Consider the following 24,551-nt stretch of genomic DNA (forward strand, 5'->3'; position numbering starts at 1 on the left):
TCCTTGTTATTGTGTGTTATAATGTTATAAAATAGGGAATTAGCTAAAATAGATTAAGATACAGAAACTCTGGGAATCAAATTTCTCTTGGGCAGGCTTAGAAAAGACAAAACTGAAAATACTTACGGGCATAGAGAGCAGATGCCTAGGGCCCACCTTCTGTCCCAGTTCTGCCCAGATCCACCCTCTGCTGAACCTTGTCCAGGTCTTACCCCACACTGAAATCTCTCACAGAACTGCTTAGAGGAGATCAGAGTTTGGGGTGGCTACCCCTACTGCCTCTCCAGAGCTGGTGCTCACAATTTCCTGATACCCAAAAGCAGATAAATGAGGAAAAGCAATATACTTTTGTGCCTTAAATTCTTTTTTATAAAATTAAAGTCAGTGTTTCTAGAGACATCCTATCCAGCAACCTGTTCCCCATCTCTGCAGTTTCAGTGGTTTTTTTCACAAGTCTCATAATAACTACAAACACAAAAATAAAAAATTCCTCTGAATTGCACTTAGCACTTCCTTTCTGTATCTGTCCCGTCTCTCTATATTGAGCTATTATTCTACGCATTTAAAAAAAAAAACAATGATAAGAAAACAGAAGAACAAATAGAAATGCTGGGGCCCTGCATTTAAATCCTGGGAAGCATGGGACTACTTTTCAGGATGTTATAGTATTAACACACATAATGTGAACTTCCCAGCACACTGCTCTATGGCATACTTCTGAGCACATAGTACATGCTCTATAAAGATTGCATTGATGCATATACACGTTTTTCAAATGCAGACTTACTCAGACTTGCCACCATCTTCCGCCTCTGTAAACATTAAAGGGCTTGCAGAGAATGCCGTATTTCAAGATGATGATTGGTGGTCTTGTCTTCGGATGTAAAGTATTTGTGTCGTGATAAGGGTGTTGCAGTGAGGGACTCATGCTGTGACTGCTTTTTCTAGCTGAGTGGTATAATGGGTCTAGGGGGAGGAGTGTCAGCAATAAGAAGACTTGCAATAACAGGAGACTTGCAATAAGAAGCTAATTCATGGACCCTTTTCAAACCTGCAGAATTTTGTTACTTACAGTGAGGCTTTGAATACCAAATAATTTATATGCATTTTGAACCTTAGAGGCAATGCTTGGCTGAGTGACTCTTAGCCCAGTCTTGCAGTAGAATTACATGGACAGTCTGAAGAGAAACCATAACGTGTGCCCTCCCCACAGATCCTGTCTGTTTTTCTGGGTGGAAAAATTCCTGTTTTTGGTTAGGCGCGGTGGCTCACGCCTGTAATCCCAGCACTTTGGGAAGCCGAGGCAGGCGGATCACGAGGTCAGAAGATGGAGACCATCCTGGCCAACATCGTGAAACCCTGTCTCTAATAAACAAAAATTAGCCAGGCATGGTGGCGGGTGCCTGTAATCCCAGCTATTCGGGAGGCTGAGGCAGGAGAATCACTTGAGCCTGGGAGGTGAAGTTTGCAGTGAGCTGAGACCGTACCACTGCACTCCAGCCTGGGCAACAGAGCGGGACTCCGTATTAAAAAAAAAAAAAGAATTCTGTCACTTGATAAATGTGTATTTTCAGGAACTCTTAACATTCAAGGATGTGGCCATAGAATTCTCTCCAGAAGAGTGGAAATGTCTGGACACTTCCCAGCAGAATTTATATAGAGATGTGATGTTGGAGAACTACAGAAACCTGGTCTCCCTGGGTAAGGATAACTTTAATATGTAATTCCTAATACTTTTTCAGAATTTCATTTTCTTCCTTTGTAGAATGTCTCTTGAGAGCTTCTGCTTTGCATGAATTAATTTCAGTTCCTTCACGAAAAAGTTGGGAGTTTGGTGGTATAAAAAATAAAATCTTTAGGATGTTTCATCTTTACATAAACCTTCTTTTGAGCTAATTTGTTTCCTTCGCTCTAGGCTAGTGGTAATTCTAGAAATTAATGATATAAAATAATTGTCTTTCACATCTTAACATGCAATTTGCACTACTTATTTTTGATTCAGTAGTACTCGGTAGTGGAACTTAAAGCCCACAGATTTAAAATACTTAAATATTCTACAGATTCTGTCGGAAAACAATTTTTGGATTAATTTTCTAGAATCTTCCCTAATTTCTCTATTCTACTTAGCATAGTACTAGGTTGGTAATTGGAGTATCCCCAGCAATAGTCATGTTAATTTTTTTTTTAATAAAACAGGTGTTAGTATCTCTAACCCAGACCTGGTCACCAGTCTGGAGCAAAGAAAAGAGCCCTACAATTTGAAGATACATGAAACAGCAGCCAGACCCCCAGGTAGGTGAGAGTGAATGGAGGAGAGGACACAGACAAGGAGGCCAAAAGTCAAGAAGGAAGCCAGGCCTTCAAATGTTGTTTGAGAGGCTGAGCACCGTGGCTCACGCCTGTAATCCCAGCACTTTGGGAGGCCGAGGTGGGTGGATCACCTGAGATCAGGAGTTCAAGACCAGCCTAGCCAACATAGTGAAACCCCGTCTCTACTAAAAATACAAAAATTAGCCGGGTGTGGTGGCGGGCGCCTGTAATCCCAGCTACTTGGGAGGCTGAGGCAGAGAGAATTGCTTAAAAACACAGGAGGCGGCCGAGGCGGGTGGATCATGAGGTCAGGAGATCGAGACCATCCTATCTAACATGGTGAAACTCCATCTCTACTAAAAATACAAAAAATTAGCCGGGTGTGGTGGCGGGCGCCTGTAGTCCCAGCTACTCAGGAGGCTGAGGCAGGAGAATGGCGTGAACCCAGGAGTCGGAGCTTGCAGTGAGCCGAGATCGTGCCACTGCACTCCAGCCTGAGCGACAGAGCGAGACTCCGTCTCAAAAAAAAAAAAAACCCAGGAGGCAGAGGTTGCGGTCGGCTGAGATCGTGCCACTGCACTCCAGCCTGGGCGACAGAGCGAGATTCAGTCTCAAAAAAAAAAAAAAAAACCCAGGAGGCAGAGGTTGTGATTGCGCCACTGCACTCCCTCCTGGGCAATATAGAGCTAGACTCTGTCTCAAATAAATAAATAAATGTAGTTTGGGAAGCTCTGTGACAAAGAAAATAATTTCTGAAAAGGCTGCATTTTTTCTCTTAGGGTCATCTTCTCTCCCATGCTCTTAAATCTAAGAATTCTGTTTTTCCTTTAGTGATCTCCCTTCAAGTTTACAGGGAGTGCCAGTGTCCACTTTATCACTTACAAAGGGCTACATGATCTGACTGCTGTTCATTGCTTTTGGGGACCTGGGAACATTTGTATTATTGAGGAGCTCTATGTTAAAGTTTTTCTTTTTTTCAAATATTGTCTTTGCATCATGTCTAAAATGTGTACGGTGACTAGTGGATATATTGGGATTTGGTTCAGAGATCCCAGGAACACCAGAGACAGTTGTTGCAGGTATTGCATCTTTTCTGCTTAGTGATTTTTAATCCTATAGAGGTTGCAAATGTAATTCTACAAAAATTCTTACTCAGCAATTTTATCAGAACAATAAGTGTTTTCCTAAATATGAAAAAATGTAATTTTATTTTACTTCAAAATGTTATTGTTTTAATATAAACTGAGATTTGTAATTTAAACTCTATTTTTGCAAGTTTTCAAATTATTTAAAGCATGGGTTTCCAACCTTTTGGCTTCCTTGGACCACATTGGAGGAAAAATTGTCTTGGCCACACATAAAATACAGTAACGTGGCCGGACACGGTGGCTCACACCTGTAATCCCAGCACTTTGGGAGACCGAGGGGGCAGATCATGAGGTCAGGAGTTAGAGACCAGCCTGGCAAGCATGGTGAAACCCCATCTCTACTAAAAATACAAAAATTAGCCTGGCATGGTTGTGCGCACCTGTAATCCCAGCTACTTGGGAGGCTGAGGTAGGAGAATTGCTTGACCCCAGGAGGTGGAGTTTGCAGTGAGCTGAGATCGTGCCACAGGCACTCCAGCCTGGGCAACACAGCAAGACTCCATCTTAAAAAAAAAAAAAAAAAAATATATATATATATATATATATATATATATATATGGTAACACTAATAATAGCTGATGAGTTTAAAAAAAAAAAGGTTTGTGAATAATTTTTGTGATATCCACTACCACAGATAAGTAAAAATGCCCTCACATTCAAAGGGTTGGCCACCACTGATTTAAGGTATCTACTCACCTTCTAGATTTCTTAAATGCACTGTCATCAACCAGCTTAGAACATTGCTAAGTGTATAGTAAGCTCTCAATTATTACCTTATTTCTTAATAACTATTATCTTTTAATTTTGTCTTATTTAGTAGGAAGCCTACTGAAGTTCTGTTGAGATCTATCTATATATAAAAATGTGTGTCTCACACACATACACATACCTATATAAGTTATATATGTGTATAATAAATTCTTACTTAACTTTGCTGATAGGTTCTTGGAAACAGTAAGTGAAGCAACATATTAAGTAAACTAATTTTTACCAGAATTTAATACAAGAGTTATGTTTGCATGACATATAGCAACAATGTTCATTTAAAGATGCACTTTTCATGAACCTATTTTGAACATAAAGTGAGGACTTACTGTACATACATGTGCAACCTGGATTTTTCTGATAAATAAAAATTGTATAATGTGTACAGTATAATGATTTGATATGTATATACATTGTAAAATAAAATATAGTCAAGTTAGTGAACACATCTATTACCTCAGGTAGATAACCAGTTTTTTTGTAGTAAGAACACTTAAGGTCTACTGTTGTAGCAAATTGTAAGCATACATTACAGTATTACTAACTATAAATAATGCTATTTTGCTGATCTAATGCTGAATGTACTTTAGATTTTTCAGAGTTACTCAAGTTACAACTAAAAATTTGTACTCTTTGAACAACATTTCCGTATTTTCCACCCTCAGGCACTAACAATCACCATCAATCAATGTTAAAGTTTTTTTGTTTTGTTTTGTTTTGTTTTGTTTTTGAGATGGAGTCTCGCTGTCACCCAGGCTGGAGTGCAGTGGCGCGATATCTACTCACTGCAAGGTCTGCCTCCCGGGTTCACACCATTCTCCTGCCTCAGCCTCCCAAGTAGCTGGGACTACAGGTGCCCGCCACCACGCCCGGCTAATTTTTTGTATTTTTAGTAGAGATGGGGTTTCACCATGTTAGCCAGGATGGTCTCTATCTGACCTCGTGATCTGCCCACCTCGGCCTCCCAAAGTGCTGGGGATTACAGGCGTGAGCCACCGTGCCCAGCCAATCAGTGTTAAAGTTGTTTAAGGTTACACTTAAGTTTCAAAATTGTGTTTTCTATTACTGTGAAAAATGACACTAAAATTTTCACTTTGAATATATAGATCACTTATGATAATACGGTACTTTGACAGTATTAGTTATTCTAATGGAATATTTTTCCATTTATTTGTGTCTACTGAAATTTCTGTCATTAACATCTTATTGTATTTAGTGTATACATATTTAATCTCATCGGTTAAATTTACTATGATTAAATTTTTTATTTTTAAATTGTTGCAAATGAAAATTGTTTCTTTTTTGTTTGTTTGTTTTTGGAAAGTTTGTTGTTACTATTTGGAAATGCAACACATATTTTTATGTTGGGCCAGTTCCAGTGACTCATTTCTGTAATCCCAGCACTTTCAGAGGCCAAGGCTGATAGATCACTTGAGCATAGGAGTTTAAGATGAACCTGGGCAACAGAGTATTAACTCTGAAAATCTGAGACAGGTCTCAGTTAATGTAGAAAGTTTATTTTGCTGGCCAGGCACAGTGGCTCACGACCGTAATCCCAGTACTTTGGGAGGCTAAGGTGGGTGGATCACAAGGTCAAGAGATCAAGACCATCCTGGCCAACGTGGTGAAACCCCATCTCTACTAAAAATACAAAAATTAGCTGGGCGTGGTGGCACGCGCCTGTAGTCCCAGCTACTAGGGAGGCTGAGGCAGGAGAATCACTTGAACCCAGGAGGTGGAAATTACAGTGAGCTGAGATTGCACCACTACTCCAGCCTGGAGACAGAGTGAGACTCTTGTCTTAAAAAAAAAAAAAAAAAAGTTTATTTTGTCAAGGTTTAGGACACGTGCCCCTGACACAGCCTTAGGAAGTCTTGATGACGTGTGCCCAAGGTGGTTTGGGCACAGCTTGGTTTTATACATTTTAAGGAGACATGAGACATAAATCAATATGTGTAAGATGTACATTGGTTCCATCTTGAAAGGCAGGACAGCTTAAGCAGGGATAGTGTTTCTAGGTCACAGGTACATGAGAGACAAACTGCTGCATTCTTTTGAGTTTCTGATTTGTCTGTCCAAAGGAGGCAATCAGATGTCCCTTTATCTCAGTGAGCAGAGGGATGACTTTGAATAGAATGGGAGGCAGGTTTGCCCTAGGCAGTACCCAGCTTGACGGTTTAGCTTAGTGATTTTGGGGGCCCCAAGAGTTCCAAGATTTATTTTCCTTTCACAAGATTATGTATCCTGATGCTTTAATGAATGCATTTATTGAGTTTTTGTTCATTTACTCTAGAGTTATATATATGTGCATGATTATATAATCTACAGACAGTAATGTTTTTATTTCTTTCCCAAAGCTGGAGAGCTTCGTTTTCCTTTTCCTTGCCTAATTGTTCTCATACAAATTTTTAGTAATATGTTAAGATAGAAGCTGTGGCCCTGGAGGCAGGCCTGCAGATCTTGGCCTCAGCTGTGGTCTCTGAAGCAGCCCTGTGTCTGTACGTTTGAAGGATCTAACAATGATTATAATTTCTGTAACTATAACAATGATTACAATTTGGCAGGTAAAGAACTCCTTTTGTTCTGTCCTCCTGCTGATGAGATTACCTCTGCTTTTGATGGTTGTGTTACCGGAGATTTGGACAGTCATGGATTCTTTCTGGGCCCTGGAAAGATTAAATTTCCTTGAGGACATTAATCTGTATGGCAGGCAGTAAGGCAGGGTTTTGAAGTTTGTCTGCGTATGATAGGCCAAGTACCAGGTGTATGAATGGGTTTGGCTTCTACTGACTACCGGGGAACAGTTTTCACAGGTCTCTCTGAGTCCCTGAGTGTGTACAACTGGCCATGGACTGTGGCTGTGAGGGCTAGAACTGAGTCACAGGACTGCTTCAGGGAACATAGCTGAGGCCGAGATCTGTAGGCCTGCCTCCAGGTCCATGGCTGGGTGTGTCTCCTTGCAGGTCTCTTGATAGGAAGGACCACTTGTGTACTGTAGCTGAGAGGAGTTTGAGACAGGTTGCAGAACTGCTTCAGCATCCTTAGTAAGACCAAGCTTAGTGTGCCATGTTTTATCTGCAGCCATGTCTATGGGCTCTTGAGTTGGCCACCTGGGTGAGGCCCTGCTTTTTCCAAATATCCCTACTTGATCTTTGGCTCCACTGAGGTTTCACAACCCTAGCCAAAGGCAAGCACCTTTCTACTTGTGTTTTCTGTGAGTTTACTACTTAAGATATCTTACCTAAGTGGAATCATACACTGTCACTTTATTAGTATCTTATTTCACTTAAAATAATGGCTTTAAGATTTATCCTTATTGTAGCATCTGACAAGATATTTTCATTTGAAGCTAAGGAATATTTCATTGTATGTATAAGCCACATCTTTTTAAATCATTCATCTATTGAAGGGTGTTTGAGTTTTTTCACTTTTTGGCTTTTGTAAGTGATATAGTTTGGATCTGGGTCCCCATTCAAATCTCATGTCAAGTTGCAGTCCCTAGTGTTGGAGGTGGGCCTGGTGGGAGGTGATGGGATGGTAGGGTTGGCTTCTCATGAATGGTTAACACCATCCCCTTTGGTACTGTCTTTGGCATAGTGAGTTTGTTCTCCTGAGATCTCATTTTTTAAAAGCATGTGGCACCTCTCCTTTCACTGTCTCTTGCTCCTGCTCCCACTATGTGAGGTGACTCACTCTTTGTTTGCTTTCTACCATAATTGGAAGCTTTTTGAGGCCTCTCTAGAAACAGAAGCTGCTATGCTTCCTGTACAGCCTGCAGAACCACGAGCCAATTAAACCTTTTTCTAAAAAAAAAAATTACCTAGTCTCAGGTATTTATAGCAATGCAAGAATAAACTAATACAGTGAATATTGCTGCAGTAAACATGGATGTGCAAATATTTCTGTCAGATATACTTTGCATATTTTGAATAGGATGCTCAGAAGTAGAATTAGTGGGTCATAGAATAACTTCATTTTTTTTTTGGAGGAACCCCTATACATTTTTTAGGGGCTGCATCACTTTCTTCCCACCAGCAGTGCACAAGGGTTTCAATTCATCTACATTGTTGACATTTGTTATTTTTTGTTTGCTTGATATTGGCCATTCCAATTAATACACGATAATACCTCATTGTGGTTTTGCTTTACATTTTTCTAAAGATTAAAAATTTTTTCAATAATTGTTTGCTGTGTGTATTTATTCTTTGGAGAAACATTTTCACCTCCTGTTCATTTGTTAATCATATTACTTACTCTTTGTTGACTTTTTGGAGTTTATTCTGGGTGTTAACTTCTGTCAAATGTATACTTTTTACTTTTTTTTTTCTTACTCGGGACTGACTAAATGTTTATTTTAATGTTCAGAGATAAATTTAATGTAGTCCATTTTTCTGTGTTTTTAAATTTGTTACTCATGTAGTTGATGCTATATGCAAGAAAACATTGCCAAGACCAATGTCATAATCTTTCTTCCTGTATTTTCTTCCAAAAATTGTAGAGTTATGCTTCTTACATTTAAATATTTAATTTATTCAAGATAGTTTTTGTATATGGTTCAGGATTTTAAATTTTTATGAGTACACAGTAGCTTTTTGTATCTATGGGTTACATGAGATATTTTGATGTAGGCATGAAATGCATAAAAATCATATCAGGGTAAATGGGTATTCATTACCTCAAGTGTTTATTCTTTGTTTTACAGACAACCTAACTACATTCTTTTAGTTATTTAAAAATGTACAATTAAATTGCTTTTGACTATAGTCACTCTGTGTACTAGCAACTGCTACATCTTACTCTTTCTAATTATTTTTCTACCCATTAATCTTCCCCACTTCCCCCAGTCCCCTGCTACACTTTCCAGCCTCTGGTAACAATCCTTCTGCTCTCTGTCTCTATGAATTAGTTTAATTTTAGCTCCAGCAAATGTGTGAGAACATGCAACGTTTGCCTTCATGTGCTTGGCTTATTTTTCTTAACATAATGACCTCTAGTTCCATCCATGTTGTTGAAGATGATGGGATCTTGTTCTTTTTTATGATTGAAAAGTACTCTGTTATGTATGTGCACCACATTTACTTTGTCCATTCATGTAAGGGACACTTAGGTTGCTTCTAAATTTTGGCTAATGTGAACACTGCTGCAGTGAAAATGGAGCTTCAAATATCTCTCTGATGTCCTGATTTCCTTTCTTTTATGTACATACCTAGCAATGGGATTGCTGGATAATATTGTAGCTTTATTTTTCATTTTTTGAGGAACCTCTAAACTGGTCTCCATGGTCATTGTAGTAATTTACATTCCCACCAAGAGAGTACTAGAGTTCAACTTTCACTTTTCTCCACATCCTCACCAGCATTTATTAATCACCTGACTTTTGGATAAAAGCCATTGTAACTGGGGTGAGATAATATCTCATTGTCATTTTGATTTGCATTTCTCTGATGATAAATAATGTTGAGCACCCTGTCATATGGCTTTTTGTTATTTGTAGGCTCTCTTTTGAGAAATTTCTATTCAAATTTTTTGCTTATTTATCATCAGATTTTATCCTATAGAGCTGTTTGTGTGCCTTATGTATTCTTGTTATTAATTCCTTATAGGCAGTTTCCAGATATTTTCTCCCATTTTATGTGTTGTCTCTTCACTTTGTTGATTGTTTCACTTCCTGTTTAGAAGCTCGTTAACTGATGTGATTCCATTTGTTCATTTTTGCGTTGGCTGCCTGTGCTTGTGGGGTATTACTCAAGACATCTTTGTTCAGTTTAATTTCCTGGAGAGTTTCACCAATGTTTTTTGTAGTAGTTTCATAGTTTGATGTCTTAGATTTGTCTCTAATCCGTTTTGATTTAATTTTTTTTAGATGGCAAGAGATAGAGGTCTAGTTTTATTCCTCTGAATATGGATATTCAGTTTTTGTAACACAATTTGTTGAAGAGACTCCCCCATTATATTGAGGCAGGAAAATAGAGTCTGGAGGCAGAAAACATAAGACCACTTCACACTTCACCTTTCCATAGGGCATGGGCCATAAATAACTTTGTAACTTTATTTCATCCTCTCCATTTACATAGGGCATACTAGGGGGTATTTAAACTCCCAAAAATTCTGTAATGGGGCCTTTGAGCCCCTACGCTTGGGCTTTTTCCCACACTGTGGAGTGTATTTTCATTTTCAATAAATCACTTCATGCCTTCCTTGCTTTGTGCGTTTTGTCCAATTCTTTGTTAAAGACGTCAAGGACCTGGACACCTACAACTGGTAACGTATATTTTGGCCAGCCAGGAGGAAGAAGTAAGCCCAAAGTTTGGGATTCATTTTTCTCTCTTTCCTTTCTGCTCCATACAAGAGCTTTCTCTTTTCATTTCCAACTTGGAACACTTGGTGGGCAGCACCTAAACGTGGAGGCAACTGCAGGTTTCTGGCTGTGGCCTGTGAAACTAATGGGTTTCCGTGCAGAGAAGGCTGACTGCCACCTCCTGGTTTGCTTAAGGAACCTGGGTCTTTTTCATTTTTTTTTCCTTTATTTCTCAGTCTTTAAGTCGCTGTTTATAATTGCCCTGCCCAGAAGGGGGAATGACTTTTTTTTTTATCTTTTCTGCACGTGGTCCCCGATCCCTATGTGTGGCGCAGTTCAGAGCAAACTCGCACATGTTTTAAGGGACTTAAACCTTCTTATGCTAAATTCTTCCCTTACCGTACTCAACTGGCTACGGAACAAAAAGGCCCACCCGGCATCCAGTTCTCATTGCAGTTCATGGCTATTTTTATAAAGCTTATAGTGTGCTCTGGAGGTGCCCACCTAAGGTCAGAGACATCTGACACTGAGATCGGATCCACAGGAGGATACTCTGTGGGTCCTGCGGACCTCAACCTTCCCAAAGGGGACGTTCTTGGCAGAGGTTCTGAGGTCTGGTACTAAACCCTCCTTGGAATTTTCTCTCATAGTTGCAATGCTGTTTGGCCCCAACATTGTTTGGAATTTGGAGTTTACTGTTGAATGGAAAAGTGGAATGGCATTGTATCTATGCAGGCTTTTGTGCTGTGGTTCCAAGCAGGGGACCTGGTTAATGTGTGATGCCCTCCTTTGGTATGGTTTGGCCCCAGTGCTCTTTGGATTCTGGGGAGGTTTGGCCTTTAAAAATCAAACTGCCATGGAGACTGCTTTACCCAAAATTTTGGTTCACAGCCTTCATTGGATTATCTACTGGGGCAAAGTAAAACCAGTAAGTTTCTATTGCTATCTCATGGCTAAGGTTCCAAGCTATTGAGTCTTCATTTATGTGTGTGTATACATGTCTAGATGTCTTTATTTGCATGTACACTTACTGTTATATGTTATGTCTACCAAATTGGCTTATAAGTAAAAGAGCACTCATAAGTAAGTCTAAGCAATTTTCAAGTTCATGTGACTTAAAGTATAACTTTACTAAACAAGCTAGCTTTAAAATTATTGGTGGAATAAAAATATAAATGCCTTCATAATTATCAGCATACATTTTGTCTGAATTTTATGTTTGTCTTTGCTAAATATTTTTAAATGTCAGTGTTAATTCAAGCTGGGAGCTACTTAGGGTGAGCCTGCCTTCTTCCATTCTATCCGAAGTCTCTTCTAAAGTTGCGGAATTGTCCATATCCATTAGTTCAGGATTTTTTGTTTTTTAGGGTTTCACTAAAGTTTCAGGTTTCTATTTAACATGTAATTCTGTATACCAAATGTACCAGAAAGGGTTATGTTATTCATGAAAAAAAAAGAGAATAGTTTTGTCTAATTCAATAGTTATCTAAAAGTTGGTTCAAATTACAGATTTAAAAAGGTTATTCATAAAACAATGTAGTAAGGAATCATTAGGCAAAAAATGTGGGAAAAGTTTAAATCATAAAATATTTTTTAAACCCTGATAAAGAATTGGAGACGTTTGGCTAATTAAACATTTTCATAAAGCTGTTAGTTTTGATTAAAGTAAAATAAAAAGTATTGTAAAAATGCATCAGCAGTTTGGCAATTATTTTTTTAAATATAGTTAAGCATGAAGCTGGATATAATGTAAAGCCAAATTTCACATACATGCTTGTTTCCTAATGCCTGGCTTTTTGGATGGATCAGAGGGCCACTGAAAACATTCAGAAAGGAGGTAAACAGGATTATTTGACATGTTTGGGTACATGTGATTGCTAAAATGATGTTCAATCTGCTTTAGGTTATATTTTTGTGAATAATACTAATATATGTTCCAAAACTGTATGAGATTTCTAAAATAGTATATGCTGTCAATTATAATTATGGTTATTATGTTATTATAAACTGCAGAAATAATCAAATTTCCTTGTATAAAGCTACTGACCTACTAACACAAGTAAAACAAAAATTAAATACCAAAACAATACAATACAATTAAAGCTTCAGGTATATTTGGTCACCTGGTGGGCCATTTAAACATTTTATAAAGGGATTTCATTCAGTTGTTATTTTCAATGCATGTTTTCTGTTGTATAAAAGCTTTACTATGCAAGGAGGCTGAGATTATTATGCTACAGTATATTTCCAGCAGGTAAAAAAGCTTTTTATGGTTTAAATCTTCTGAGAACATAGGAGAAAAACTGTCCTTGCCACCCACACTACAACAAAATGTCAGGACTTTGGGCTTTAGGTTAACGGGTTTTGATAAGGGTCCCTCCACATTTTTGGAACTGTGCAGCCATTGGAACCCTTGAGGTGAAGCTAACCAGGGAGATTTCTCCCAAGAAGATGGCATCCTTGATGTAAACAGCTTTTCCCAAGTTCACAAATTAAAACTTCTATCATAAAACTCTTACCTTTGAATTTTTTTTCTTATGCTTCTACAAACATTAAAAGTAGAAAAGGGATCTGTTAAGTGCATTTATGGAGTATACTTCTATTTGTGAAGGAGTTTGCAGCCAGCCTTATATATGGATAAGCTTATACTTAGATAAATAAAAGATGAAAGCCCAGTCAGTGTAAGTAAGAAACTTTAATGGTACATACATTGCCTCATAATCAGTCCAAAAACAAAACATTGGTTCACTCCTGTTAACCCACACCGTGGGCTAAAGAGACCATTGCCAGGAGGCCTTCACTCTTCTAGAGGGGCATCATTTGTTAGGTCCTTTCCCATGGTTTAAAGTAAAAGAAGCAATGATTTAAAAAGGTATCCCTCATGATAGGCTCTATAGCAAATTCTACTGTAAAGGCTACAGTTACACAATAGACTTTAAATTCTTTTGTGAAAGTTATAATAGAATTGACTAAACAAAGAGGTACCTGTGCAGCTGCTGGCACTTGTGGCTTATGGAGAAATACATCAAATGAAGATTATAGAAATTCAGTGGTAGGGGATTAACAAAGAAATTGCTTAGTTAAGTAAGTAAACTCTTTATCTGGCTCATTCTTTGATCTATTTAATTTTACGAGGTTTGGTTTATGGAAACCTTGAGTAAGGAGCATACTGTGAACTCTTGGTATTTTCCTCCCAATAGTCATAATAATAGTCTCCCTTGTGTGCTGTATTCTCTCAAAGGTTTTAAATGCTTGCATGCAGCCATCTCTAGGATGTCATATGGTCTCTCTTCAACTAGAATAACAGAAGCTAAAAGAAACGTGCAACCATGAGAACACCGTAACCTATAAATAATGTGCTGAGACCAGAAATCCAAAATGATGGTAACTGAGAGTGGCTCTAAGGCCCTAAATTTTGGACACACACTAATCTAAGTGAGAACCTAACCAAAAAGGGGGAATTTCGTTTTGTTTTGTTTGAGACGGAGTCTCTGTCACCCAGACTGGAGTGCAGTGGTGTAATCTTGGCTCACTGCAACCTCTGCCTCCCAGGTTCAAGCAATTCTTTGCCTCAGCCTCCCAAGTAGCTGGGATTAGTGCCTACCACCACGCCTGGCTAATTTTTCTATTTTTAGTAGAGACGGGGTTTCACCATTTTGTCCAGGCTGATCTTGAACTCCTGACCTTGTGATCCACCTGCCTTAGCCTCCCAAAGTGCTAGGATTACAGGCGTGAGCCAGTGTGCACGGCCAAGGGGGAAGTTTTTAAACAAAATTCTGGGATGCCATTGTTTTGGACTAAGCTCATACACTAGGCACCAACAGACCAAAACAAAATGGAGTTGCTTGTGCCAAGACTTTAAGGAAACACATAAATTCTAGAACAAATCAGGTTTTTTTTCTCCTGCAAATCTCTGTAACAAACATTCTTAACAGCATAGGTATCCACCCCCATTATATCTTTTAACCAAACACGTTTGCTCTTGCCTAGAGACCATCAAGCTTCACTGATCATGCAGTGAAATCTCCAGCCAGTTCCAGGTGAAAACACACCCCTGGCCATCAAGAAACTACCCTGCCTCCACTAGACAGAACAGGGCGAGAGTACTGTGATCCCCAATAGACAGGGACTATGCCCCAAGCCAGCATAAAGCAGTTACAGAAAGAAAAAGACCGTTGACCCCCCCGTCTCCTATAAGGATTTATGGGGATCACATCTCTCGGGGGACATGAGGCAGGAAAACGGTCTGGAGGCAGGGACCATAAGCCCAATTCACACTTCAGCTATAACAGGAAATATCCTCTCCATAGGGCATCCACCGTTAATAACTAAATTTACTTCACCCTCTCCATTTACGTTGGGCATACCCAAAGTAACCAATGGAATACTCTAGGTGGTATTTAAGCTCCCAAAAATTCTGTAAGGGGGCCTTCGAGCCCCTATGCTCGGGCCCGCACTGTGGAGTGTACTTTCATTTTTAGTAAATCCTTTTATTCCTTCCTTGCTTTGTGTATTTTGTCCAATTCTTTGTTCAAGATGCCAAGAACCCGGATACTTTCTAGCGGTAACAATATATTCCTGACAGCTTTGTCAAAAAGAAGTTTGCTGTAATATGGATTTATCTCTGCATTCGCTCTACTGTTTTACTGATCAGTTTTATGCCATTTTAATTACGGTAGCTCTGTTGTATCATTTAAATTCAAATACTATGATTCCTCCAGTTTCTTTTCTGGTACAATGGCTTTGGCTATTTTGAGTCTTTTATGGGTCTGTCTACATTATAAGATTGTTTTTCCTATTTCTGTGAAGAATGTCATTGATGCTTTGATAGGAATTGCATTAAATCTGTAGATCATTTTGGGTAGTATGAAAATTTTAATAATACTGATCCTTCCTATTCATGAACATAAAATATCTTTCCTTTTTTTTCTCTTGTTTAATTTCTTGCATCGATGTTTTATAGTATTCATCATAGAGATCTTTCACTTCTTTGGTTAAGTTCATTCCTGGTATTTAATTTTAATTTGTGGCTACCGTAAATGGAATTACTCTCTTGGTTTGATTTTCACATTGTTCACTGTTGGCATGTAGAAACACTAATTTTTTAATCCTGTATCTTGACTAAATGTATGAGTTCTAATGGTGTTTTAGTGAAGTAGGTTTTTTCAAATATAAGACCCCATCATATGCAAAGTTTTTTTTGTGACAGATTTTTTTTTTCTATATGTCTCTTTTGTTTGATATAGCCACTCGTACACTTTTTTAGTTATTGGCATGGAATATTCTTTTTCATCTTCGAACCACTAATTCCCAGTGTGGGAATAATGATACTAACCCTTTCATGAGAGTAGAGCTCTCATAACCTAATAGCTTCTTAAGGGGCTCACTTCATTTTCTCACAGTGGCAGTTAAATATTAACATAAATTTTGGAGGGACACTCAAACAATAGCAATATGTTTTCACTGGATAAGTAAATGTTTTTCTATTTAGAGGAATTATTGATGAGAACTTATTACTGCCATTTTGTTCATTGTTTTCTGACCAGTTAGTAGTTTCTGTGTTTTAATTCTTTCATGCTTTCTTCCCTTGCGTTTTCTTGAATTTTTGTTTTGTTTTTCTTATATGCTTTGATTCTTTTTCTTTTGTATCTACTGCCATTTTTATTTTAATTTCCAAGAGACTTACATAAAACATCTCATAGTTATAAAAGTCTAGCTTGAGATAACAATGTAACTTCTTTTTTTGTACAGATAGGGTCTTCCTTTGTTACTCAGGCTGAAGTGCAGTACATTCACAGCTTAGTGCAGCCTCGACCTCCCCAGGCTCAAGCAATCTTCCCACCTTACCCTCCTGAGTAGCTGGGACTACAAGCACAAGTCTGTCTACTTTTTTTTGTACTTTATATAGAGGCAGGGTTTTGCCATGTTGCTCAGGCTGGTCTTGAACTCCTGGGTTCAAGCACTCCACCTGCCTTGGCCTCTCCAAGTGCTAGGATTACATGCATGAGACATCACACCCAGTGCTTCTTTTTTTAAAAAAACCAAACAGCTTTGTGAGATCTTTATTTTATTTTATTCATGTATTTATTTTAGAGACAGAGTCCCGCTATATTGACCAGGCTGGTTTTGAACTCCAGGCCTCAAGCAAAAGTTACCTTCTATGTATAGAAAAATTAAACAATTTTACTTCCTTTAACACACTATTTATGTCACCCTTTACTTTTTTTTAATATTGTGTACCTGTTAACAAATATACTGAAGCTATATGTGTTTTAATGCTTTTTTTGTAACTTATATCAGAGTTAAAAGTGATTTATGCACCATAATTAGTGATATAGCCTTCTATATATATATATATATATATATGTTTTCCAGTAAGATTTATACTTTTATATGTTTTCTTGCTGTAAGTTAGGATTCCATCCTTATAACTTGAAAAATTCTCATTAACATTTTTTTGTAAGACAGGTCTAGTGATTATAAATTCCCTCAACTTATTTTTTAATCTGAGAATATCTTGATTGATACTTCATTTGTAAAGGACAGTTTTGTCAGGTATAGTCTCCTTATTTGTCAACGTTTTTTCTTTTTCTCTGTTCATTTGCACTTTAAATATACGGTCTCACTTCTGTGTGGCTTGCATGGTTTCTGCTGAGCAATTTACTGATAACCTTATAGATGTTCCCTTATATGAGAAGAATCTCTTTTTCTTGCTTCTTTTAAGAATCTCCCATTGTCTTTGAATTTTTGGCAGTTTAATTATAATTGTGTCCTGGGCAAGTTTTTTATCAAGTTCTTCTTGCTACTGATATTTTGAGCCTCATAAAACTGAATGTCTGTATTTCTTCCAAGATTGGGAAAATTTTAACACATTATATCTTTAAACAATAAAAAAAAGTTTTCTCTCTTTTGAACCTCCTAAAATATGTACCTTTTTATGGTTTATCATATAGCATGGGTTCCAAATTCTTTATTCACACTTTCATTTTTAAAAAATTTCTAATTAGAAACTTTCAAATGACTTACGTTTGCTGGGGTGTTTTTTTTTTATATAGCTGAGTCTCCTGTTAAAGCTTTCTCTTAAATTTTTCAGTTCTACTATTTTTACTTTGACTCCAGCATATCTATTTGGTTCTTTTTTAATGGTTTCTTTTTCTGTATTGTGATTTTGTTCATGCATTGTTGCAAAAAAATTTAGTAATCTGTGTACTTTTGCATCTTACTGAGTTTTTATTTTTATTTTTTATTTTTCTTGAGACAGAGTCTCACTCTGTTGCTCAGGCTAGAGTGCAGTGGGGTGATCTTGACTCACTGCAACCTTCACACTCCAGATTCAAGCGATTCTTTTGCCTCAGCCTCCCAATTAGCTGTGACTACAGGTGTGCACCACCACACCTGGCTAATTCTTGTATTTTTAGTAGAAAGAGGCTTTCACCATGTTGGTCAGACTGGTGAGATGCTTGAAGATTATCTTGAATTCTCTGTTAGTCATTTTTTAGATCTGTGTTTTATTGTAAGTGGTTACTGGAGCATTTTTAGTTTCCTTTGGTGGTGTTATATTTGCCTGATCCTTCATGATCCATTAAGGATGTCCTTGCGTCTGAAGAAGCAAATGCCTCTTTCAGTTACTATAAACTAGTTTGGGGAGGTAAATATCTTCTTCTGTTGGATCTCTGGACTGATGCGATTTCTGCTGATATTGCAGTTAAGTGCATTGGAGCCAGGTCATGTAACTACTACCGGGCCTGCCATGAAGTTCATGCTTGGCAGACCTGTAATCAGGGCATCAGACAGTTGTGGTTTCGTCTGTTTTCTGAGAACACCAAACTTTCTTCAAGATGTTGATCAATATGACTAGTGCTCAGAAAAAAAAAATCCCAGCACTTTGGGAGGCCAAGGCAGGTGAATTGCCTCAGCTCAGGAGTTCGAGACCAGCCTGGGCAACATGGTGAAACCCCGTCTCTACTAAAATACAAAAAATTAGCCAGTCGTGGCAGTGTGCGCCTGTAGCCCCAGCTACTTGGGAGGCTGAGGCAGGAGAATTGCTTGAACCCGGGAGGTGGAGGTTGCACGGAGCTGAGATCACACCACTGCACTCCATCCAGCCTGGGCGACAGAGCGAGATTCCATCTCCAGGAAAAAAAACCCTCCAATTATATCTGGGGGTGCTGATACAGTAATGTTATCTGGTGTGACTCCTGTGAGGCTTTTGCTGGTTTTTGGAAATGCTCTAATCCAGTCATTGGACAGGTTCCTGGAAGAGCAGGGTTGGTCCTTGATCACAGCTGAAAAGGTGTGGAACTGATTCATAGGGCTGCTTCAGGATACACAGCTAAGACTTCAGCTCTGTTTCTGGGTTCACGGCATTTATGCCTTCAGATTTCTGGGCGGGCAGGACTGCTCCCAGACTCTAGCGGACAGGGAATGGCGCTGGTTACAGGGCTACTTCAAGATTCATAGTGGGAATAAAGTCAGCCAGCATGCCTATAGGTGTGCTTTTTGGCAGGTTTCAGGCTAGGAAAAACTGCCCCTGGACTTTGGTTGCATGGACTCGGAGCCAGGTTATAGTGCCACATCAAAATCCACCATCAGGGCCAGGTGCAGTGACTCACATCTGTAATCCCTGCACTTCGGGAGGCCAAGGTGGGCGGACCACCTGAGGTCAGGAGTTCGAGACCAGCCTGGCCAAATTGGCCAAATCCCATCTCTACTAAAAATACAAAAATTTGCTGGGCATGGTGGCGGGCATCTGTAATCCCGCTTACTCAGGAGACTGAGGCAGCAGAATTGCTTGAACCTGGGAGCTGGAGGTTGCAGTGAGCAAATATCACGCCATTGCACTCTGCAGCCAAGGTGACAGAGTGAGACTCTGTCTCAAAAAAAAAAAAAAAAAAAAAAATCCACCATTGAATAAATATTGGCAGGCCTACATCCAGGGGCACAGATGGATGTTTCTGTGGGTCTCTGTGTGTGCAGGATTTCTTCCACACTATGACTGATCAGGGAAAGGGGTGGGTTTTGGGCTAATTTATAGATCACAGGCAGGACCAACATGTCAAGGCCTTTCACCTGAGACACAGGACATTATGAATTCTCCTAAGTGTCTTGGCAGATGGTGATAGTGGCAGGAACAAAACCAAATGATCTATAGCTATGTTTACAGTGAGAATTATTCATATTTCATTCGGTAGCTGGGACTATGATGGGCAAGCATGCCACTCAAGCAAGTGCATGCCCTCTTAATACAGCCCTCCTCAGTCTTGGATTCACAATCTTTTACATGGATTTCTAAGTTTTCATAAAGGTTCTTTTGTCAGGGCATAACTGCTGTATTTTCATAACTAGAAGTTGTGGGTAGAGAACCTCCTATTCTGCCATCTTGCTATGTCACTCCCCTTGTATGTTTCACTTTCTGATATGTTCTATGCCAAATTATCTGATTTCAAATTCAAAATTTCTGAAATAAAATGCCCAAGTTTACACATTGTGTAATAAGTACATGTATTGACATGGCTCATTTTCATTAGAGCATTTTATTAATTATTGAGATGCATTTTCTTTTACTGCTTTACATTTCATGCCAAAGATTCAAAATCCCGGCTCTTCAATAAGAACATAGTCACAGTTAAAAACTGTAGTTATTTAAAGGATTGTTTTTATGGTACATCTGTATATATTTAATATTTTGTGGGTTAGAATTTTTATTGTATTCAACTCCATTTTACTGGGCAATCTTTTTTCATGTAGATACTCCTTGATTATTTAATTTTTTTCACTTCTAATCTTCATATTTGGTAATTTTCAAATCTATACCTTTAATGATCAAGTGGTGTTTAATTCAAATAAAAATAATTGGGTTTCACTTGAGGCAATTTAAAATACATTTATAAATCAGACATTTTTATTGCCTATAAAAGTTAGGTGGTATTTGCCTGTATAAATAGTGCCCCTCCTTTGATTATAAATTATTTATTTTCTTTGGTGGTCATCAGTGTTTTCTTGTGTAGGTGAGTAGTCAAAAAACAGTGTAAAGTTACCATCTGTTTATTGTCTTATTACATATTATTCTGTGAGACAAACACTTTTGCAATTTGCAGGTAATTTCTGAGGAATGTAACCTTTTTAAGTAGGTGTAAATAATAGTTATAAAAAAATAAAATTGCCTTCTTAAACATTTTCAATTGTACGGTCTAGTGATGTTAAGTATATTTACATTATATTGCAATGGGTGTCTAGATTTATTTTATCTTGTAAAATACAATACCCAATAAAAAATAAACTGCCCCCCTTTTTTTCTTCAGCTCCTGAAGAACACCATTTGACTTACTGTTTTTATAATTTTGACTAATTTTTATATTCTTATTAGTGTCATTAATGTCTGTTTCTGTTTGACTATCTAATTTAATGTAATGTTCTCAGGCTTTGTTTTTGTAAGATATGTCAGAATATCTGTTTTAAAATGAAATAATATTCTATATATATGTCACATTTTAAAAATCCGATACTGATCTGTAAAGGGACATTTGTGTTGTTTCCAGGAATTGTCTTTTGTAAATAATAATAAATGAACATGCATGTGTAAATATCTATTTAAAGTCCTGCTTTGAATATTCTTGGGATATTTTGGATACGATGATGTAGTACCATGTGTATTTTCATGTTTTTGTTTCCTGAGCCTTAGGTGTTATATCCAAAAATGATTGCCAAGACCAGTGCATGAAGCCTTATCATTTATTGTTAGATTTCATATATGTGTAAGATCATCTGGTACTTGTCTTGGTGGATCTGGTTTATTTCACTTAATGTAACGGCCTCCAGGTTCATCCGTGTCCTTGCAAATATCAAATTTTTGTTGTCTTTTATAACTGAATAGTATTTTGTTGTGTATCTGTACTAGATTTTCTTTATCATCTGGCTTTCAATAATTGGATTGATTCCATATATTGGCTATTATAAATAGTACTATAATAAACATAGGAGTGTAGATGTCTCTTTGACATACTGATTTTGTTTTTTTTAGCTACAAAGAAAGTAGAACTTTTATATGCTCCAGCAATAGTGTTTAATTTAAAAATTAAAAATAGAACTAACATGCTTCAGCAGTCCTGTTTAATTAAAAAATAGAACTAACATATGACCCAACAATTTGAATTTTGTGTGTGTGTGTGTGTGTGTAGTCATCAACATTTTATTGTCTAGGTGATGAGTCAAAGAAACAGTCTAAATTACCATATATTGATTGTTTAAATATGTTATCCTGTGATACTTTTTTTCCTATAATGGCTCTACTAACTTACAATTTTACAACTGTATTTGTTTTCTTTTCTATACAGTCTCACTAACAATTGTTAGTCTTATTTTTTAATTAATTAATTTATTTATTTTTGAGATGGAGTCTTACTCTGTCACCCAGGCTGGAGTGTAGTGGTGTGATCTCAGCTCCCTGCAACTTCTGCCTCCCGGGTTCAGGCAGTTCTCCTGCCTCAGCCTCCCAAGTAGCTGGGACTACAGGTGCATACTGCCATGCCCAGCTAATTTTTTTTTGTATTTTAGTAGAGACGGGGTTTCACCGTGTTGCCCAGGCTGGTCTCAAACTCCTGAGCTCAGGCAGTCTGCCCAGTTTGGCCTCCCAAAGTGCTAGGATTACAGGCATGAGCCACCAAGCCCAGGCAGTCTTTTCAATTACAGTCTTTTCAATAACAGTCATTCTCACTGGAGTAATGTTTTTTTGTTTTGTTTTGTTTTGTTTTGTTTTGTTTTTTTGAGACAGAGTTTTGCTCTGATTGCCCAGGCTGGAGTGCAGTGGCATGATCTTGGCTCACTACAACCTCCGCCTCCCAGGTTCAAGTGATTTTCCTGCCTCAGCCTCGCAAGTAGCTGGGACTACAGGTGCCCACCATCATGCCGTACTCATTTTGCCTTTTTAGTAGAGATGAGGTTTCACCATGTTGGCCAGTCTGGTCTTGAACTCCTAACCTCAGGTAATCCACCCACCTCAACCAACCAATGTAGGGGTGGGTTGCCCCTACACACCTGTGGGTGTTTCTCGTAAGGTGGGACGAGAGATTTGGAAAAGAAAAAGACACAGAGACAAAGTATAGAGAAAGAAATAAGGGGACCCGGGGAACCAGCGTTCAGCATATGGAGGATCCCGCCAGCCTCTGAGTTCCCTTAGTATTTATTGATCATCCGTGGGTGTTTCTCAAAGAGGGGGATGTGTCAGGGTCACAAGACAATTGTGGGGAGAGGGTCAGCAGACAAACACGTGAACAAAGGTCTTTGCATCATAGACAATGTAAAGGATTAAGTGCTGTGCTTTTAGATATGCATACACATAAACATCTCAATGCTTTACAAAGCAGTATTGCTGCCCGCAGGTCCCACCTCCAGCCTTAAGGCGGTTTTTCCCTATCTCAGTAGATGGAGCATACAATCGGGTTTTATACCGAGACATTCCATTGCCCAGGGACAGGCAGGAGACAGATGCCTTCCTCTTGTCTCAACTGCAAGAGCCATTCCTTCCTCTTTTACTAATCCTCCTCAGCACAGACCCTTTACGGGTGTCGGGCTGGGGGACGGTCAGGTCTTTCCCTTCCCACGAGGCCATATTTCAGACTATCACATGGGGAGAAACCTTGGACAATACCTGGCTTTCCTAGGCAGAGGTCCCTGCGGCCTTCCGCAGTTTTTGTGTCCCTGGGTACTTGAGATTAGGGAGTGGTGATGACTCTTAAGGAGCATGCTGCCTTCAAGCATCTGTTTAACAAAGCACATCTTGCACCGCCCTTAATCCATTCAACTCTGAGTTGACACAGCACATGTTTCAGAGAGCACGGGGTTGGGGGTAAGGTTATAGATTAACAAAATCTCAAGGCAGAAGAATTTTTCTTAGTACATAACAAAATGGAGTCTCCTATGTCTACTTCTTTCTACACAGACACAGTAACAATCTGATCTCTCTTGCTTTTCCCCACAAACCAAAGTGCTGGGATTACAGGCATGAGCCACCGTGCCTGGCTGTGATGTGATATTTTATTGTGGTTTTTAAATTGTTATTTTTGTTTTAAGTTTGTTATATATTCTGTAAGTTTATCTTTTGTCATAAGTATACTTCGCAAATATTTTCTTTCATTCTGTAGATTATCTCTTCACTCTGTTGGGATTTTTTTGCTATGCAAAACATTTTTAGTTTTTTGTAGTCACGTTTGCAGATTTTTACATGTACTTTGAGGTCTTAAACATTTTTTTCTCTGTAATATGTGGTAAAACATTTCTCTATGTTTATTTCAAATAGCTTTATATGTTTGGGTTTCCCAAACATATAAATCTTTATTTGTGATTGAGTTTTTTATATCAAAAGAGGTAGGGGCCTAGGTTTATTTTTTACTTTTTTTGATTATCATGTAGATACTCAGTTTTCCTTGCACTATTTATTGAAAAGACTCTCTTTCTCCAATGTGTGTTCTAGACATCTTTGTTTAAAATCCCTTGGCTCTAGGTTCATGGATTTATTACTGGGCTCACTGGATACTGTCATCTGTCTATTTTTATGCCAGAATCATGCTCCTTTGCTTATTGTAGCTTTATATTATATTATGGAGTCAGGTAGTGTGATGTCTCCAGCTTTATTCTTTTTGCTCAGGATTTCTTTGGCTATTTGGGGGTCTTTGGTAGTTCCCTATAACGTTTAAGCTTGTTTTTTCCATTTCTGTGAAAAAAGTCATTGATATTATGATAGAGATTGCATTGAATCTGTAGATCACCTTGGGTAGTATAGCAACTTTCATAATAATTTTTCAATTCATGAGCATAAAAATCTTTCAGTTTTTCATATTTTTATCAATGATTTATAATTTTCAGTGTAGAGTGTTCAGCTTTTTAATGAAGTTTGCTGCTAGACATCTCTTTTTTATTGAGGATGCAGAAGCAGCATTTGGCAAAATTCAACATGCATTTGTGATTTAAGAAACTCAACAAATTAGGTATAGATGGTATGTAGCTCAACACAAGAAGGGCCACATTTGACAAAT

The 24,551-nt window shown here is 38.2% G+C and overlaps 1 protein-coding gene across 7 annotated transcripts in view, besides 1 other annotated feature; it reads left to right on the forward strand.

The window, feature by feature from the left end:
- The window catches only part of ZNF718 (zinc finger protein 718), a 77,831-nt gene that overhangs the window by 4,738 nt on the left and 48,542 nt on the right, over positions 1-24,551 (forward strand). For 5 of the 7 annotated variants that reach the window (NR_110527.2, NM_001289930.2, NM_001039127.6 and 2 more), the window contains exons 2-3: positions 1,575-1,701; positions 2,197-2,292. The exons of the other annotated variants lie outside the window; for them this stretch is intronic. Coding sequence is in view for 4 of the 5 variants with exons in the window: in NM_001039127.6 (NP_001034216.2) it covers positions 1,575-1,701; positions 2,197-2,292 (223 nt within the window). In the remaining variant the exon portion in view is untranslated. The remainder of the gene's footprint in view (positions 1-1,574; positions 1,702-2,196; positions 2,293-24,551) is intronic. 7 annotated transcript variants of the gene reach the window in all.
- Positions 22,151-23,010: an enhancer, noted in NCBI's record as "OCT4-NANOG-H3K27ac hESC enhancer chr4:145148-146002 (GRCh37/hg19 assembly coordinates)". NCBI's record gives its function as "activates a minimal SCP1, AML or CMV promoter by ChIP-STARR-seq in primed H9 embryonic stem cells {active_cell/tissue: H9 hESC(primed)}" and the evidence as "EXISTENCE:reporter gene assay evidence [ECO:0000049][PMID:30033119]".

The sequence above is a fragment of the Homo sapiens genome, chromosome 4 (genome assembly GCF_000001405.40).
Source record: "Homo sapiens chromosome 4, GRCh38.p14 Primary Assembly".
Taxonomy (NCBI): Eukaryota; Metazoa; Chordata; class Mammalia; order Primates; family Hominidae; genus Homo; species Homo sapiens.